Source organism: Homo sapiens, chromosome 9 (genome assembly GCF_000001405.40).
Source record: "Homo sapiens chromosome 9, GRCh38.p14 Primary Assembly".
In the NCBI taxonomy this organism is placed as follows: Eukaryota; Metazoa; Chordata; class Mammalia; order Primates; family Hominidae; genus Homo; species Homo sapiens.
This window is the reverse complement of record NC_000009.12, coordinates 123,879,368-123,897,743: the sequence shown is the minus strand read 5'-3', so window position 1 is coordinate 123,897,743 and position 18,376 is coordinate 123,879,368. Positions and strand designations below refer to the sequence as shown.

The 18,376-nt window shown below is 41.1% G+C and overlaps 1 protein-coding gene across 28 annotated transcripts in view, besides 2 other annotated features; it reads left to right on the top strand.

Moving 5' to 3' along the window:
- DENND1A (DENN domain containing 1A) overlaps positions 1–18,376 on the top strand; it is a 550,469-nt gene that overhangs the window by 32,383 nt on the left and 499,710 nt on the right. The gene's annotated exons all lie outside the window — the stretch shown is intronic.
- Positions 2,461–3,061: an enhancer, noted in NCBI's record as "OCT4-NANOG hESC enhancer chr9:126656962-126657562 (GRCh37/hg19 assembly coordinates)". NCBI's record gives its function as "activates a minimal SCP1, AML or CMV promoter by ChIP-STARR-seq in naive H9 embryonic stem cells {active_cell/tissue: H9 hESC(naive)}" and the evidence as "EXISTENCE:reporter gene assay evidence [ECO:0000049][PMID:30033119]".
- Positions 2,515–2,564: an enhancer, noted in NCBI's record as "active region_28951". NCBI's record gives its function as "activates an Ori minimal core promoter by ATAC-STARR-seq in GM12878 lymphoblastoid cells {active_cell/tissue: GM12878}" and the evidence as "EXISTENCE:reporter gene assay evidence [ECO:0000049][PMID:35858748]".

The following is an 18,376-nucleotide window of genomic DNA, read 5'->3' as shown; positions in this document are numbered from 1 at the left end:
CTCTCTCTTGGCCTCTCAAAGTGTTGAGTTTACAGGTGTGAGCCACTGCACTGGGCCAGACCTTTATGCATTGCTGGTAGGCTCCGAGGTGAGCCCTGGAGTTCAAAATCAGCTTTCTGAAGTCATTTTCTTGAACTGCCCTCTCTTGCCATCTCCTCAGTGCCCTGCGGCTCCCTTTATTTAACCCTGCTCTGCTGTGTACTTCCCATGATTGTGTATGTAGTCTGGGCTTCGCAGTGAGAGGACAGAGTAGAAAAGAAAGTAATAGGGGTTTGCCCTATCCTCTTAAGGCCACACTTCCTCTGGTTGTAGGGAAAGGTTCCTTCCCTCACTCAATGCTTTAGGTACCTGTAGGCTGCTGCCTCTTTTCTACTTCTTGAGCCTGAACTAGCCAGCTTCTCTTGGAAGTTATTCATGCTGATGTCCACGTCCAGTATTTGGGCTGCCTTGAGTCTATGCTGAGTGATAATGGAGGAACAAACTCAAACACACCACTGGTTTGGTGGTACTTTTAATTAGAATCTTCTATCCCATTTCATCTGCTACTCTACTTTCTAGGTTCCTCAAATAGCGCTCCATGAATTCTCCCCTGGTTTTATAGAGGTATTTTCTCGTTGTGGAGAGACAGGGTGGAGTGTGCCTGTTACTGGGAGCCAGAACTTCTAGATTTCTTTTTATTTATTTTGCTTTGCGTTCATTGGTCCTTTTAAATGTGTGAATGTGTATCTGTTGTTAGTTCTGGGAAGTTCTCTGTATTTTCAGACCAAGAATGAAGTTAAGGTAGAAATCTTAAGAGATAGCTAGAGTATTAAAAACAGCTGTTGGCTATGTCTCATCCTCTTCTCTTCCAGAGTATTGATTTGTCTTAATGTTTTACTTCTGCGTTTATCTTGTGTAGCTTTTGTTTTCTATTTTCTGTTTTTCTTTTTGAACTCTATTTTGTATCATTTCTTTAAGTTCATGAATTCTCTCCCTGGTTGTATCTTTCCTGCTCTTAAGTCATCCGTTCAGTTATTCATTCTTATTTTGAGAACTATTTTGTTCTTTTTCAGTTTTCCTTGGTCATGTCATAGTTTCTTACTGTTTACTCATTTTTAATCTTTTAAAAATTTATTTAAGCTTATTAAATATTCCATATTCTGTCTCCCATAATTCTAATACCTGAAGTCTGAAGGTCTGACTCTGCCATCTTTTATTTCTGAGGTTCTTATTTATGGGCCTTGTTTCCCCAGGGTTTTCTGATTTTTGCCAGTGAGCTCATATTTCTTGGAGCTTTCTGTGAGAAAAATTTTGAAGCCGAGTTTGAAGTGGATTTTTCCAGAGAAGGTTTACATATTTTGTTAGTGTCCTGAAGCCACTCTTAGTTTGGGACCACTTCGGTTTAAATTCTGGGGTTGAGGGTTTTTTTTTTTTGTTTGTTTGTTTGTTTGTTTTCAGAGAGTCTCACTCTGTTGCCTAGGGTGGAGTGCAGTGGCAGTATCCTGGCTGACTGCAGCCTTGAACTCCTGGGCTCAAGCTAACATCCTGCCTCAGCCTCCCGAGTAGCCAAGACTACAGGCGTGTACCACCATGCCCTGCTGATTTTTTAATTTTTTTTTATTTTTTCCTGATGGAGCTGGGGTCTTGCTCTGCTAACCAGGCTGGTCTCATATTCCTGGGCTCAGCTTACCCAAGTGCTAGAATTACAGATGTGAGCCACCATGCCTGGCCTGTTGAGATTTTTTTGACCACTCAGTAGCAGTCCCTTGTGAGGGCCTGCTTGTGTTTGAACTGGTGGAAAAATTTCCCTTTCTCAGTGCTGAGTTTTGAGGCTAGTGGTTTTTATGACAGTTCCTGAGATGTGTATGTGTGTGGATGGGTTTCTTTCTTCATCACCTTGGTCATCCCACTTTAAATGGTGGGAGAGGGATGTCTGTTACACTTTTCTCCTTAGGCTGAATGTTCGTTTTGTCTTGAATTCCTTGAGCCCCTTAGATTGGGAGAATGGAGCATGCATTGGACTACATAAATATCTTCAAGGAGAAAGTGAGTTTTTGTGTTTTGGTAACCCTGTTAGGTTTCTATCTTCACTTAGTTCTTTGTCTGAATCTTTGTTCTTTTCTTTTTTTCTTTTTTTTTTTTTGAGTCAGAGTCTCACTCTATCGCCCAGGCTGGTGTGCAGTGGCATAATCTCGGCTCAGTGCCACCTCCACCTCCTGGGTTCAAGTGATTCTCCTACCTCAGCCTCCCAAGTAGCTGGGATTACAGGCACATGCTACTATGCCTGGCTAATTTTTTATATTTTTAGTAGAGATGGGGCTTCACTATGTTGGCCAGGCTGGTCTTGAACTCCTGATCTCAAGTGATCCACCCGCCTTGGCCTCTCATAGTGCTGGGATTACAGGTGTGAACCACCATACCCGACCGAATCTTTGTTATTTTCTTGCAAGCTCATCAATGTATTTATCTGAGAAGATGGAAAAAAACCATTATTTATAGTTTTCAGTGGAGGATCTGAAGGGTACTTAGTAGGAATTTGCAAGTGGCATGCAGCTATGGTCCCAGCACCTAGGGAGGCTGAAGTGGGAGGATTGCTTGAGGCTGGCAGTTCAAGGGTGCAGTGTGCTATGATCATGCCTGTGAATAGTCACTGCACCCCAGCCCAGGCAATATGGCAGCACCCTGTCTCTTAAAAAAAAAAAAAAGGAACTTGCAGCTGCAGTGTTTCTGAGTTTCAATCAGGGTGATTCTGCTAGCATTCTCCAGCCTCTGCATGAGCATTCATACCTCTGTACTTTGCTCAGCATGTGTCTCTTGTTTAAAATCCCCCCACTCCTCTCCACCTAGCCAAACCCAGTTCATTCTGCAATGTGAACAATCAAGTTTCACCTCTTCATGGTGCTTCTCTTGAATGCTGTAGCTCACTGGTTCCCAAATGTTTGGAATATTTTAAAGTACAGACTTAAAAACAAATTTTGTGGAGTTACATCAAAATGATCATCTCCTGTCACCATTATTTTTGAAAAGAAATTACATTTTCATATCTGAAAGGCAGGAGGAATATGATGTCCAATTAAGGATAGTTTTTATAATTGAATTAAATATCTTTATATGGAAAGTACACTGTATTGTCCCCGTTTTTCTCATTTTGCTACTGATTAGAAAAAGCCTCATTGCATCCTATCCGCTGATAATCAGGACCACAACCTTAGCTCAGAATGATGTCTTCAATTTGCAAACCCACAGCATTTTGTTTTATCAATTCGTGGCAGCCAGTCATTTATTTCTATTGATTTCAAACAGCCCATGTTTGGCTGTTTACATTTTATGTTTTGTCTCCTTGACTTGGTTGTAAGCTCCTTAGGAGCCATTATCTGTGTGTATTTAGATTACTCATAAATATGTGTTGAATGAGTTAAATTTAGATACCTCGGATGATGGTTGAAACCTAGCAATATTTATAGAGCACACATTTGAGTATATCACAGTTCTGAACGTTGTTTACTTCTGGAGGAAAAAGAAGTTTTAATGTGAATCATGAGTCACTTACTCATCTCTCTCCTCCTCAGGGAATTTCATTCACTTAACAAATTCACCAAGCGCTTGTTTAAAAACCAGGTCTTTTGTTAGGGATCTGGGAATACAGAGGTGAAGTGAAACAAAGTTCCCAGTGTAGTAGGTAATATGTATATATAAGTACAAAGCATAGAATACCACCTGGGAAGCCTTATAACAGGGCTTTGAAACCAGTTTTGTGACGGTGTGGAGAGAGCAACTGAGCTTTGTAAGGGGGTGAGAGAAGCCTCCAGAGAGGAGGAGGCATTTGTTCATTCACTTTCCATTCATTCAGCAAATATCTCTTAAGTGCCTACTACTTGCCAAGCACTGTTCTAGATGCATCTTGAATAAATAGGACATTGTTAGGAGATGGAACACATTTTAGGTGGGGAAATTATGATAAAGAGCATGCCCTTTGAAGTAAGAACAGACCTGGGCTTGAGTTCATACACTGCCACTTACTAGATATTTGTCTTTGGGCAAGCAATTCAATTTCTAGAAGATTCTTACTTTTGTAAAGTGCTGTAGATCCTCCCTCCCTCACAGTATGTCATGTGGGTAAAGTGAGGTGCTGTATATAAAATTAAGCTTAGCACAGTGCCCAGCCCCTCTGAAATAGTGCAATAAGTGACAAATGTATATACAAGGCATGTAAGTGATTGAGGCCTGATGGTAAGATTAACATGACTAAAATGTGGGGGCATGTGGGTTGGTAGGGGGTGGTGGGCAGATGAAGCTGATAAGTCTGGTCTCACTGAGGCTAAATTGCAAATAGTCTTGCATCGCATGTCCTGCTAATGACGGTCTTTTAACTCCTGAATGCATTTGGGAGCCTTTGAGGTTTACATTGTGTTTTTGTCTTTTCTTTTTTAAACTATGCAGTGGCATGCTGAGCTGTAGCATAGTGATTAGGGACATGGACTCTGGAGCCAAATCTGCCTGGGTTCTAGTCCCAGCTGTCTCACTTACTAAATGTTTGACTTTAACTGATCTGTTCGTTAGTTTCTTCATTGGTAAACTGGATGATAATCATATCTATCTTAAATGTTTATCTTGTTTTGTTTGTACAATGCTCTTTGAATCACTTTTTTTTTTTTAAAAACATATAATCCTGTACGTATAGTGGGCCAGTGGGCCATGAGCCACCATGCCCAGACCATTCTTTATTCTTATTCTTTATTCTTTTTTATTCTTATTCTTTATTATTATTATTCTTATTATTTTTGAGACGGCATCTCACTCTGTCACCCAGGCTGGAGTGCAGTGGCGCGATCTCGGCTCCCCGCAACCCCTGCCTCTCAGGTTCAAGCAATTCTCCTGCCTCAGCCACTTGAGTAGCTGGGATTACAGGTGCCCACGACCACACCCGGCTAATTTTTGTATTTTTAGTAGAGACAGGGTTTCACCATGTTGGCCAGGCTGGTCTTCAACTCCTGACCTCAAGTGATCCATCTGCCTTGGCATCTCAAAGTGCTGGGATATTATTTTATTTTACCTTCTGGGATACATGTGTAGGATGTGCAGGTTTGTTACATAGGTAAATGTGTGCCATGGTGGTTTGCTGCACCTGTCAATCCATCACCTAGGTATTAAGCCCCACATGTATTAGCTATTTACCCTGATGCTCTCCCTCTGTTTTTGTATTCTTATAAATATTCTTGGGTTTCCTCAGGGGAGTAATCTGAGGCAGTCATAGGCTCACTTCTTTCTTTTCCATCTTTCAAGGCATTGCTGCACTTTGTTGCCTAATGTCTTGAAAACCATTGTTTCATATGTTTTGTCTATGTTACTTTGAAATAATGTGCTCCTTCCGAGTCTTGCTTTTTAAGGTTTGTTAAGTGGGATTGGAGTTGTGCTCAGTCTAGGGCTAGACTAGGCAACCTAGAATTTTATTCTCCATTTCTAAGGTAATACTCTATTGTGTACTCTATCCAATGCACCATGAACATGAGTTTTCCACTTCGGCTGGGGGGAATAGGCATTATTTCTAACCCTGTGTGAGTACCAGCTACTGCACCTGTAATCTTTTTTGCTGGTTCTTTGTGCAGGCTTAAGTTATTTCCTCACATACACATGCTAATCAGTACTTAGCTATATACTTGAGGGGGCTCTTGCAGATCTCTGGAGTTCTTTCTCTGTGCAGCTCTCTTCACTCCAGCACTCTGTGCTGCAAACTCAACTGCCTTGGTTTCCCTGGACGCTTAGCTCTGTCTCTCAGCTCCAGGTGTTTGCTGGGCTTTGCTTAGGTCCCCCCTCCTTGCACCATAATCTGGAAACTCTCAAAGTGGTGAGCTGGGGCATCAGAGGGCTCAGCTCACTTGTTTACTTCTCTCAGGGATCACTGTGCTTTGTTGTCTGTTCTCCAGTCTCTTGAAAAACATTGTTCGAGAGAAGGATGGATGGATCGATGGAATTTTGGTTGTTTCAGATGGAAGGGTAAATGTGGTCCATGTTACTCCATCTCTGCTGGATTTGAGATTCCAGTAAATTTGTTATATACTTATTTAAATTTTTGATAGCCTGCTACTGCCGGTATAAGATGGTATCTGATTTAGTACGATTTTATTTATTATTATTAAAGTGTATATTTCAAGGTCTTCTAAAGAGTCTCACGATTTCTAGGTTGTGTGCCATCTTGGCACATTGAGAAGAACTACTGTTCTTTTATAGTAGTTCCAAAATCCAACTGATCAGAATCACTTAGGAAAATAGGTTCATAGATCAATAGATTATCAAAATCACTTTTCAGAAAATAGATACCTGGGCTTTATTTCCCACCTAATGAATCAGTCTTCAGTGGTAGAACCTGGGAATCTGATTTAAAAAACTTCTAGGTGATTTGAGACTGAGTCAGTATAGTGTACGTTACGTTGTTAAGAGCACGAGTTCCATGGTGACTGTGATCTATGATGACAACTCACTAAGGTCCAAATGGAGCAGTGGCAGAGGGAGAGGCAAGTTCTTCTCAGAAAAGGGAACTTGGGACCATGAAGGAGAGAGGAGCTCAGTGCTTCTGGGAGACATGGGGAAGGCACCACTCTGTAATTCTGGATCTCCCTGAAGTCAGGTTGTGAGCTCTCTGGATGGCTCAAAGGACTACTCAAGGAGTGCTGAGAACCTGAGCTCACTGTTCTGAAGGCCTTTTCAGTTGCCCTTAGGTGCTAACACAACAGCCAGACACTATGGTTTTTGAAGGGTGTGTGGAGGAGAAAAACAATTGGGCCTATAATAAGGTTCATTAAAAAAAAATTAGTGGAATAGGGGTTACATGGGTATATGCAGTTGCCCAAGTTCCTTGAACTAGACACTTACAATGAGTGCATTTTAGTGTATGTATATTAGCATACATGTAATTGTGAGGATACAATTATATGTTGGAGGTATAAAGTTGATTTTAAAAATTCAAGAATATAGACTCTAGAGCCACACTCTCTGGGTTCAAATTCCAGCTCTATCTCTTACAAACTGTGTGAACTTGGACAAGCTTCTGAACTTGTATTTCAGTTTCCTCATCTGTAAAATGAGAATGATGGTAATAGTAGTTCTTTCATAGAGTTGTTGGGAAGGTTAAGTGAAATAATAGATGAAAAGTGCTTAGAAAAATATCTGACACATATTTAAGTGTTTAGTACATATTAACAAGATTTAGAAGTGACTTGGTCTTCTGCAGAATATCTGCTCTTCTTAGATGGGGTAATGGAAATAACCTTCCCCTCACAGGCTTGGCGGGAGGGTTAAATAAGAAAGAACATAAAAGCAAGTCATCAATGAAACAAGGGGTTCTTGTTGCATATTCCTCCATAAATAGCTTCATGAACGCCTTGACATTTTTATGTAAAAAATATTCCATTTAAGCACATTTTTCTGGGGAGATGGTGAAGCTTTTCATGGCCTCCTCAGAGAAGTCTGTGGCCCACCATTCCCCCAGCCACTCTAAACAGGTGTGAGTAATTTTTGGACAGGCAACGTGGTGTGGTGGAAAAGGCATGGGTTTTGGAATCTTAAAACCAGGGTTCAGTTGGAGTTCTACCACTTCCTGGCCTCAGTTTCCCTTACTGTAAAACAAGGAAAATACCACCATCTTATTACCTGACACGGTTTTGACAATCAGCTTCAGAAACATATGTGAGTTCTAAGGTAACCATAAAGTATTTTACAGATGTTCACTTTATTACTGACTGAGGGGCATAAGTTGCACATCCATGGACTCTTTTGAATTTTTTTTTTTTCCCGAAGATGGAGTTTCACTCTTGTTGCCCAGGCTGGAGTGCAATGGTGCCGTCTTGGCTGACTGCAGCCTCTGCCTTCCAGGTTCAAGCGATTCTCCTGATTCAGCCTCCCAAGTAGCTGGGGTTACAGCTGTGTGCCACCAGGCCTGGCTAATTTTTGTATTTTTAGTAGAGACGGGGTTTCACCATGTTGGCCAGGCTGGTCTTGAACTCCTGACCTCAGGTGATCTACCTGCCTCGGCCTCCCAAAGTGCTGGAATTACAGGTATGAGCCACCACGCCCGGCCTCTTTTGATTTTTATACATTGCATTTATTCAGTATTTTTTTTCCTCTGTAGAGGAGAGACTTTTTCTTCAGTTTTGGTAAAATGAGAATTTCTTTCTGACTGCACAATCCATCCCTTGTTCTTAAAATCCCTTTATTTATTGCCTAGACTAATGTTTCTATTCGGATAGTTCCCTATTTTCTGGATTGCTTTTAGTGACGGTATTTGAAAGCCTAATGGTTTTGAGTCTTTGAAATACACAGTAATATGTGGATTACTTATAAAGCCTATTATTGGTAAGGTGAAGCCATTTTATTTTTATATGATACGTGATAATACCCTTTACATTAGTTTAACATCTTTTAGTTTACAAAGCACTTTCTCATTTTTCTCTCATTTGATCCCTGAAACAACTTTTGAGATGAGCAGGGCAGGTATATATCTTGACAGAGGAGGAAGCCGAAAGGTTAAATGGCTTGTCCTAATCCCATAACAAGTAAGGGATCTACCTGGGATTTGAACCCAAGCCTCCTGATGTTTAGTTTGGGGTTCTTTCCATAGAACCACATGTCATTCCTGTGAGAAAGTCTTGGTAAAAGGAAGGTCAGAGAAATTGGTATTTAATGAATGATTTTAAAAAAATATTTTTCCAGGAACTAGAATCTTATAGAAAAGTTGGCAGTACAGTGTAAAGAACTTAAAATACACACACACACACACACACACACACACACACACACACACACACACACACAGTTTAAAGCACGGTATTGACCTGATGCATCATCACCCTTGAATGTTTCAGTGTGCTTCTCCTACAAACAAGGTTATTCTCCCCTCTAACGCAATGCAAACATCAAAATCAGCAAGTTAATGGCAATTTGTTACTACGTCTAATCCTAAGACTGCATTCAGGTTTCACTAGTGGTCCCAATAACATCCTTTACAGCAAAAGAATCACACATTGCATTTAGTTGTCATTTCTCTTTAGTTTCCTTTAGTCTGGAAGAGATTTTCAGCCTTTCCTTGATTTTCATGACGTTGACACTTTTGAAGATTAAGGCCAGATATTTTCTAGAAGGTCCTTCCACTTGGTTTTGTCTGATGTTTCTTCAGGTGTAGCATCTCCGACAGGAATATCGCAGCAGTGATGGTGTGCCCTGCTCTTTGCGGTCCAGCAGTTTCTTCCATTACTGATGGTGATCACTTTGACTTGACTAGGTTTTTGCCAAACTTCTGCATTGAAAGTTACTCTCTTCTCCCTTGTATTCAGTATTTTGTGGGGGAGGTACTTTGAAACTGTGTAAATATACCATTTCTCATTAAACTTTTCAATTTATTCCCTTATTTAGATGCGTATGAACTCATGGCTTCTTGTTTTATTTGATGGATCCAAATCTGTTAATATCCTTACTGATTTGGATGCTCAGACTGCCCCAGATTTGGCCAGTGGAAGCCCTTTCAGGCTTGCTCCCGTGTCCCTTCAATGTATCCCCATCATTCTTTGAGCACTTCTTTGCTTCCTGGCACAAAAAATGTTCCAAGTTCATCTAGCACGTTCCCTGTCTTAGTGCTAGAATCAGCTATTTCTCCTAGGAGCCCTGGTTCCTTTTAGAGGAGAATTGTATTTAGAAGCCAAGGCCTGGGAATTAGGTGTGCTCATTGCTGTTGGGGTGTTGCTGCTCCCAGGCCCTCCCAGTAGCCAGAGCTGGGAAATATGTGTGCATGTGAAAAGTCAGGTTACATTTATGCTTTATTTTTCTATCAAGTTATATATATACATATAAACCTTGAGCACATTCTAATATCTGCATTTCAAATCCAACTTTGTATAAGTCATGTTGGTTTTCTGTTAACTTCAACTGTAAGAAACCAGCCTTCCCCATGTCTTCCAAGTAGCCTTGGGTTCAGATTAGGCACACGGCCCCTTCACCTCCACCCTGTGTGCATGCTCGCCTCCTTCTTCACCTTGCTTTCTTGGCATCACAAGGACTTGATGGTGGTTCTCCACACCTCCTGCCCCACTGCCCTGCTTGGACTCTGACTCCCACTCACTCTGGGAAGCCTCCTCCTACCCAACATGGACGATCTCCTCATGCCTGCTTGGGCACTGGCCTCCATTCTCGGGGGCCCTAATGCTTAGACATGCTCCTCACCCTCTGCAGCTCTGACACCCTGTGTTGGGATGCCCTCACATGGGTACCCCCTCATTCTGCCTGTGCTTCAACACCCCAGGCCCAGCTGTGCTGTGCGTGAATACCCTTCCACCCCACTCAGGTTCTGACTTCCCACACCAGGTTGTTCCCTGAGTAGATGTCTTCCTCATCAGTTGGATTGTGCATCTTATGCCAGGACATCCCTCAGCATGGATGTTGCCCCTTCATAGGGACACCTTCCTTGCCCCGCCCAGGCTCTGACATCTCACACTGGGCTGTCACCAGCATGAACGTCTACCTCACTCTGCCTACCTAACAGGTTTAGGACTAAACTGTTCAGAAAGGGAAGGGGAGGTTTTTACATTTTTGTAAGGTCAAAAATGTTTATTGATAATGAGATAAATATCACCTTTGCAAATGCCCTTAATGGGTAAAGCCTAGATTTTACACTGCAGCTCAGCATATGAGACAACTTATTAACACTGTGTGTTGTACTGCACATTGCTGAGGGGTGTTCAGGCTTTGTCTCTCTGCTTGGAATGCAGCTAACCCTCCTCCAGTTACCTTGCTTGCACTTAGAGGCTTAAGAATCTTCCCGTAGGGATATATGGAAGGTAAACCTTTGTGACTCTTTTCGTAGCAATATCTGCGTATCTTCATTAATCTGATCCTGAGAACATTATTAGAAATGAAGTTAAGTGTAGTCTTGAAACGACTTGTTTGTGTAATTACACAACTAAGTTAATTTTCTAACAAGTCTCAACAATGACTGCATTCTCCTATGGAGGTGTTAACTTGTTATGGGCTAGAAAGCACTCTTTGATACAATGTTTTCAGCCTGGAAAAAAAGGCTTTAATTTCAGAGTCCAGTGAAACAAATGGAGACTTGTTGGAAATTTTAACACTACCTTTTTGCTTGTTTTTCTAGCTTAAAGGACTCAATGTTTATTAGGTGGTGTTTGCTAGTGCGTTCTGAAGTGTATACAGTTTCTTTTGACCATGTTGTCAAGTTTAAGAGAGTTCAATTGGTATGAATTTTTAAACGGTACACCTCAGCCCCTTCAGCATGTAAGTTTGTAACTAAGGAAACACTGCGCTGAAGCTGGTTTGAAGTTTTGAAGACCGTGAAATGAGTAAGGGGTCCTAATAACTATTTCGTTTCAGGTCTGTAGCTCTAAATTACCCTTAAAAGGACTAGGGCCTACCATTGTGGCATGGTTACCATATGCAACACAGATTCATTTTATGAGGAGTTAATGTTACATTTTTCTCCTAATCTCATATATTCTAATTGAGGAAAAGTAGATCCTAATTAAAAGCTGATGATCCAGCAGAGTGATCAATAGCATGATGCCTTGAAAAAAAAAACAAAACAAAAAACGCCATTAAGCTTTGCTGCTGCCTAAATACTGTCAAAGCCTTTGTCTATTTCATGGCTTCAAGCTGAGTGTACTTAATCTTTTTGAGAACATGGTCCTGGCTGGGTGTGGTGGCTCACGCCTGTAATCCCAGAACTTTGGGAGGCTGAGACGGGCAGATAAGTTGAGGTCAAGAGTTCAGGACCAGCCTGGGCAACATGGTGAAACCCCATCTCTCCTAAAATTACAAAAATCCCGGACATGGTGGCAGGTGCCTGTAATCCCAGCTACTTGGGAGGATGAGGCAGGATAATCACTTGAACCCGGGAGGCGGAGGTTGCAGTGAGCTGAGATCATGCCACTGCACTCCAGCCTGGGCAACAGAGTGAGACTATCTCGAAAAGAAAAAAAAAGAACATGGTCCTGAGCACTGAGCATGACCCTTCCGGTGCACTGAGAACTGTGTTCAGCAGAGAGATCTTGAATAGAAATGCTCTATTGGCTTACCCTCAGCCTTCATTCTCCCAGAAGCAAAAACTGAGCAGACCTCCCTTCTTTCAAAAACGTTTTAGCTGTTTGTATTTGCCATTTTTCAGTGTTTAAGAGCTGAGGCTGTTGTCAGCAGGTGTGACTTATTGAGAACTTTTACTCCAAAGGAAAACATCTTTACAGAGTAATAGGTGTAAGCAGTGTGTATTCTGTAAATTACCTCTTGTCAGAGAAAGAGAAGTGATTAGTGGGAGCTGGAAACGTGTCAGATGTTGGAGGAAAACTCATTCATGAAACATTTATTGAGCCAGGTGTCAGACTAGGGTTATGAGAAGACACAGTTGGTACCCTCAAGGAGCTGCCAGTCTAGTGGGGAAGAATGTATTATATTTTATCTGAGACACACCAGTGGTTCTCAACCTTGACTGTACTTTGGAATAAGTTTAGGAATTAAAAAGTATCAGTGCCTGGAGATTCTGATTTAATTGGTCTGCGATATAGACTGGGCATCAGGATTTTTAAAAGCCCCCCAGGTAATTGTAATTGTACCAGGGTTGGATATGGTGAGAGCCTGGAGAGTGGGAAGTACAGGGTGCTTGGGAGCATAAAGGTGGGGCACTTAACCCAGTCTAGGCTGTGTGCGTGCGTCTGTGTGTGTGTGTGTGAGAGAGAGAGTGAGTGTGTGTGTGTGTGTGTGTGTGTGTGTGTGTGCGCGCGCGCTCGCAGGTCAGGTGGGAGATGGGAGGGTTGTTGAACAATAATACTTCCTAGAGAAGAGGAAGTGCCTGAGTTTGTCAAGTGAAAAAGCCTGGAAAGACTGTTCTTGGCAAAAAAGCAATTGAATAATGTAGAATAGTGAAGTGGTTATTGTCTTTGGAGTTAGTTCCATGCTGATTCTGCTGCTTGGTCATTTTGTCTTTGGCCAATTTATTCTCTGTGAGCTTCAGTGTCCTCATCTCTAAACCGGGAGTAGTATTACCTGTGGGGTTGTTGAGGACTAATTGAGGTAATGCATGTGAAGTGCTTAGGATCATGGCTGGCACATAGGAAGCAGTAAGTGGTGTTAGCTGTATGGAAATGGTATAATTGTCCTAGAATTAGGGCATGCATGCATGGTTTGCTTAGAGAGCTACAAGTAGATCTATATGGCTGGATTGTAGGGTACAAGACTGAAGAAGATGGGGGGTGGGAGGCAAAAAAAATGCTTGGCAGGTGGGCAGGGTTAGGAGTCTATAGGAGAATGAAACAATTAATAATGGGATATCATGGCAGAGCCAGGACATTTCCATGGTAATATCTTAAGATGTATCATGAAGTGTTCTGGGAAAACTTGGGTCCATATTGGAAAATTGGCTCTGAATGTGGCATTCTCAGCATCATTACATGTACCAAATTAGCAGTGAGTGTTAATAGGACAGAAATAGGATTTTCAGTTCCTTTAGCCAAAAAGTTAAAAATATTAAACATCTTGAAGAGTAATGGAGGGATAAGCAATCTCAAGGTGGTCGCAGAGAGCCTCTGGAAATTGTTATAGTCTTAATTGTTTACAGGCTTAATGAAAATACCAACTAAGGGGGTTGCTTGGCTATTTGCATTTAGAGGAGGCACTTTTTTATTTTTGATTTGCAGAGAAATAGAGAATGCTTCTATCTGCGTTGGCTTCCCTGGCCCTTAAAATAACTGATGTATATTTGTTGGTATGTTACATAACTTGTCACAACATTACTCACCACTTCTTCCATAAGGCAACATGGAAATGATCATGGATAAGCATGACCATAACTTATAATTATAGACCAATTTGTTCTTAGCATTTTAGCTCTTTTTTTTTTTTTTTTTTGAGACTGTCATAATCCTTGGCTCCATGTAATGGAATAGAACTCTACCAGCTGTTTGAACTGAGTAAGAATCTTAGGTGGCTTTATTATGACTCATTAGAGTGAGGCAGTAACTACAGATAGTGGTAGAAGAAGAGGAATAACCTTCCTTGTTTCCACAAATGCCTTTTTTCTTTGAAATTTATCTTTTATTGCAAACGCACTATTGAAATAATGGATTACTGTGGTATCCCCTATGTTTATGATGTATATTCTAAATTATCTGGAAGAATTCTACTTAACTGGTAGTTCTTAAAGTATGGTCACGGGTCCAGCAGCATCAGGATGACTTGGAGACTTGTTAGAAATACAATTCTTGGGTCCTACCTGAGACACTCTGGGGATGGGAACTGAAATCTTTTAGTTAAGCCCTCCAGGTGACTATAGTACTTGCTAAAGTTTGAGAATCGTGGAACTGGATGATCACACCCATCATTTATTGAAATCTTTTAGACCTCAGGAAGGCAACTCTATTCTTTATGCCTTCTACCCAGTATTTAGGTGGCACTGGCTGTGTGCCAGTCACTTCCCAGGCACCAGGGAAACACTCCTTGACATGATAGACAAGATCCCTGCTCTCCAGCAGCTTACATTTAGAGAAAGGAGACTGACTGTAAACCAAGATTATGGCAGGTATAATGTGGAGAATTACAGTTAGGTGATAGAGTGTGTGTTGGGGAAGGTCTTTCTGAGGAGGCCAAATATAAGCTGAGTTTTCAATGCCAAGAAGGACCACCTGTGTGAAGATCAATATAAAGGACTGTAAGATGGGACTTCTCTTTGGTGTGTTTGAGGAGCAGAAAGAAGGTCATTGTGGCTGGAGTTCAGTGGGCAAGGGGAGAGAGGTATAAAATGAAGTTGGACAGGTAGGCAGAGGCCAGATCATGTAGGACTTTGTAGGCATTGCTAAGGACTGCCACCTTCTTTTTCTGTTTTGTTTGTTTAAATTGTGGTAAATTTCACATAAGACTTCCCATCTTAACCACGTTCAAGTGTACAGTTCAAAGGTATTATGTGTATTCATATTGTGGGGCAACAATTGTCAATGTGCAGCTCCAGGACTACAACTTTGACTTGACTTTGAGTGGTGTGGGGAGCTTTTAGGAGATTTGAGCAAAGAAGTGACATAACCTGAACTTCAGAATAAAAGGATTACTGTCTGTTAATGTTGTGATCTGACTCTATAGAGGGGCAAGGAAGAAAGCAGGGAGACCCATCAGGAGGGTGCTGCAGTAATCGAGGTGATATGATAGTGATCTATCAAGGATGGTTGTATTTGGGGGTGCTGAGAAACGTTGAGATTCTGGATGTATTTTGATGGTAGAATCAGTAGAATTTTCTGATTGGTTGACTGTGGCATATGAAACGGGAGTCGAGGATGACATTAAGTTTTGTTAGTCTCAGCAACTAGTAGAGTTCAGGAGATGCAGGTTTGAGGGAGAAAAATATGATATGTTAAATTAGAAATGCTTCTTAGATGCCCAAATGGGATTTTTTTTTTTTTTTTTTGAAACAAGGTTTTGCTATGTTGCTCAGGCTGGTCTCAAACTCCTGGCCTCAAACAATCCTCCTGCGTTGGCCTCTCCAGTAGCTGGGCATCCCCCACCATGCCTGGCCCAGTGGGGATGTTGAGTAGGCAGCTGGGTAAGGGAGTCTGGAGTCAGGGAAGAAGTAGTCAGGTTGGAGATGTGACTGGGGCTTGTATGCATGGTAATGAAAGCCCAGAGACTGAATGAGATCATCTAAGCAATGAGTGGAGACAGGGACAGTAGGAGAGCTAACCTGAGAAGGAATTCGCAAAGGAGTAGCCAGTGAGGTAGGAAGAGGATCAACAGAGAGCAACGTCCTGGAAGCCAAGAAAAGAAAGACATTCAAGGAGGAGGGCAGATGGATGAACTATCAAATGCTATTGACAGGCCGAGTAAGATGAGCACTGAGAATTGAGCATTTAAATACATTTTAGCAATGCAGAGGTCTGTGGTTACCTTGACCAAGTTGTTTCAGTGGTGTCGTGGGTTCAGAAGCCTGGTTGGAGTATGTTAGAGAAAGGAAGAAGCAGCAGAAACAATGAGTATATACATTAGGCCATTTTTCACTTAGATAGCAGGGCTGTACAAAACACCCTGTGGTACAGGATAATGTGTTGGTGTCCCCGTGTTTTAAAGTTTGGATATAACACCTTTGCATGCTCATTTTATTTCAATTTTTAAAATGCATAAAAATAAATTAAAAATGGAAACTTGAGTAAAAATGTGGGAAGCTCTAAAGAACCTCCATGAAGTCCTAGGGTCCTGAAGAACACACTTTGAAGGCTGTTATATTAATCCAAAGGAATGAAATTCTGAGATGAAATTCAGCCATTTGCAAACTAGGCTTAAGAAAGACATTTTGAGGTTTCAGAGAGAATCTTCCTGATGCTCTTCAGATTATACTACCTATTACTCATGAAAGAACCTTTGAACTTCCCTTTCTTTCATCAAATGTTCTACCTTAAGATCTTTTGAATGAAAGGGGTGTTTGCATATGGTATTTTCCACAAATATTTGGTCCCATATGCCAAAGATGCCAAGATCATTTTGTACCCTCTTGCAGGGAAAAAAGAGCACAACAATTTTTTAAGGTCCTCTTGAAACTTCAGTTTACTTAATTTTTTTAAGTAAGATACTGTGACTTAATGTCTGATTTTAAAAATAACTCAGTTTGACAAGGTATATTTAAATACCTTGAATTTTAGAGCAGCCAGGTCTTTGCTACAGACGCTTGAAAGCAAAAGCCCATGTTTCTCTCTGGGGGAGAAATGACGATTTTACACCCCCGAAATAAGTAGATTCCTGATTCACAAAACACTTATTTTTCTTTCCCCTCCTAAGGAAGTAGAGGGAGTATTACCATTTTTTAGTGAGTGTAAAATGCCATTATTTATAATATAAGCCTTTATTTAAGGTATTACTAGGAAAAAATGCCGGCTCTTAGAATTGTAAAATGCTGTCGGTTGTAAGAGATATGAAAACGTGGGGGGAAACAGTTCATTCTAGAATCGAGTGAAATAGGATTTGATAAACAGGAGGCATGAGTTCTGGTCCTGGCCATGTTTCTAGACAAGTCACTTTAGAATCCCTTTGCATGAGGTTGCTCATTTGTATGGTTGTAGTAATCCTGACACACCTATCTCTCAGGATTATGATGACGATGAAATGAGATAACTGAGATTGCTATTTTGAAAAGTAGATGCCGCTGGGCATATTAAAAGTATTTATTTGATGTAAATAAATCCTTAGAGATGATTAGGCAACTCAGAAGGTTTCTTACCTCATGTTTGTTGTCAGATTTAAAATAGAATTAAGTTACAGATATTTGAAAGTACAACATTTTCTTCTGCTACATGATTTTTATTTCATCTGGAAACATCTTTTTATGGTAGTTTTGAAATTAAAGAGAAAATGTAAAAATAATATAACCACAGTATTCTTATTATCTAGAATTAACCATAAACATTCTGTTCTGTGATCTTTTAAAAATTTATGAACTATTGGCTGGGTGCAGTGGCTCCCAGCACTTTGGGAGGCCAAGGCGGGTGGATTACTTGAGGTCAGGAATTCGAGACCAGCCTGGCCAACATGGTGAAACCCCATCTCTACTAAAATACAAAAGATTAGCTGGGCGTGGTGGTGTGTTCCTGTAATCCAAGCTACTTGGGAGGCTGAGGCAGGAGAATCGCTTGAACCTGGGAAGCAGAGGTTGCAGTGAGCTGAGATTGTGCCACTGCACTTCAGCCTGGATGACAGAGTGAGACTCTGTCTCAAAATAAATACGTAAATAAACAAATTTATGAACTGTTATGAAATAAACAAGTAAGAGTATAATAATAAAAATTCATACAGTTACCATTGCCAATACAGGTGAAGGCCCATTGAATCCTGAAGATCGTGAACTTATCAAGGTTATATAGCTATGTGGGAACAGTGTCTTACGTTTAGATTGGCATCTTGTCTTCACAGTAGTCTAGTGAGATACACTGTTCCTCTTGTTTAAGTCTTGAAAACCTGTACATAAGCAAGTTAATCTTGTCACATTCGTGTTTTATTCTGGAATATACTGAGGAGAGGGCTAATTTGTGCTGGTGTTGCCTTGGTCTGAGTTTCCTCAAATTTCTACCTCTGGGTTTGGTGATCCAGCTGTGGAAATTGGAAATGTGACATCTGTAAAACCATAGTAATGGCTAGCCTATTATGTGCCAGACATCATGCCTAGACAATTTGTGTGTGTGTGTGTGTGTGTATAATTTTATTATTCATTTTTGAGACAGCATCTCACTCTGTTACCCAGGCTGGAGTGCAGTAGCGTGATCTTAGCTCACTGCAACCTCTGCCTCCTGGGCTCAAGTGATCCTCCCACCTTAGCCTCCCAAGTAGCTTGCATTATAGGTGTGCACCACCATGTCTGGCTGATTTTTGCATTTTTAGT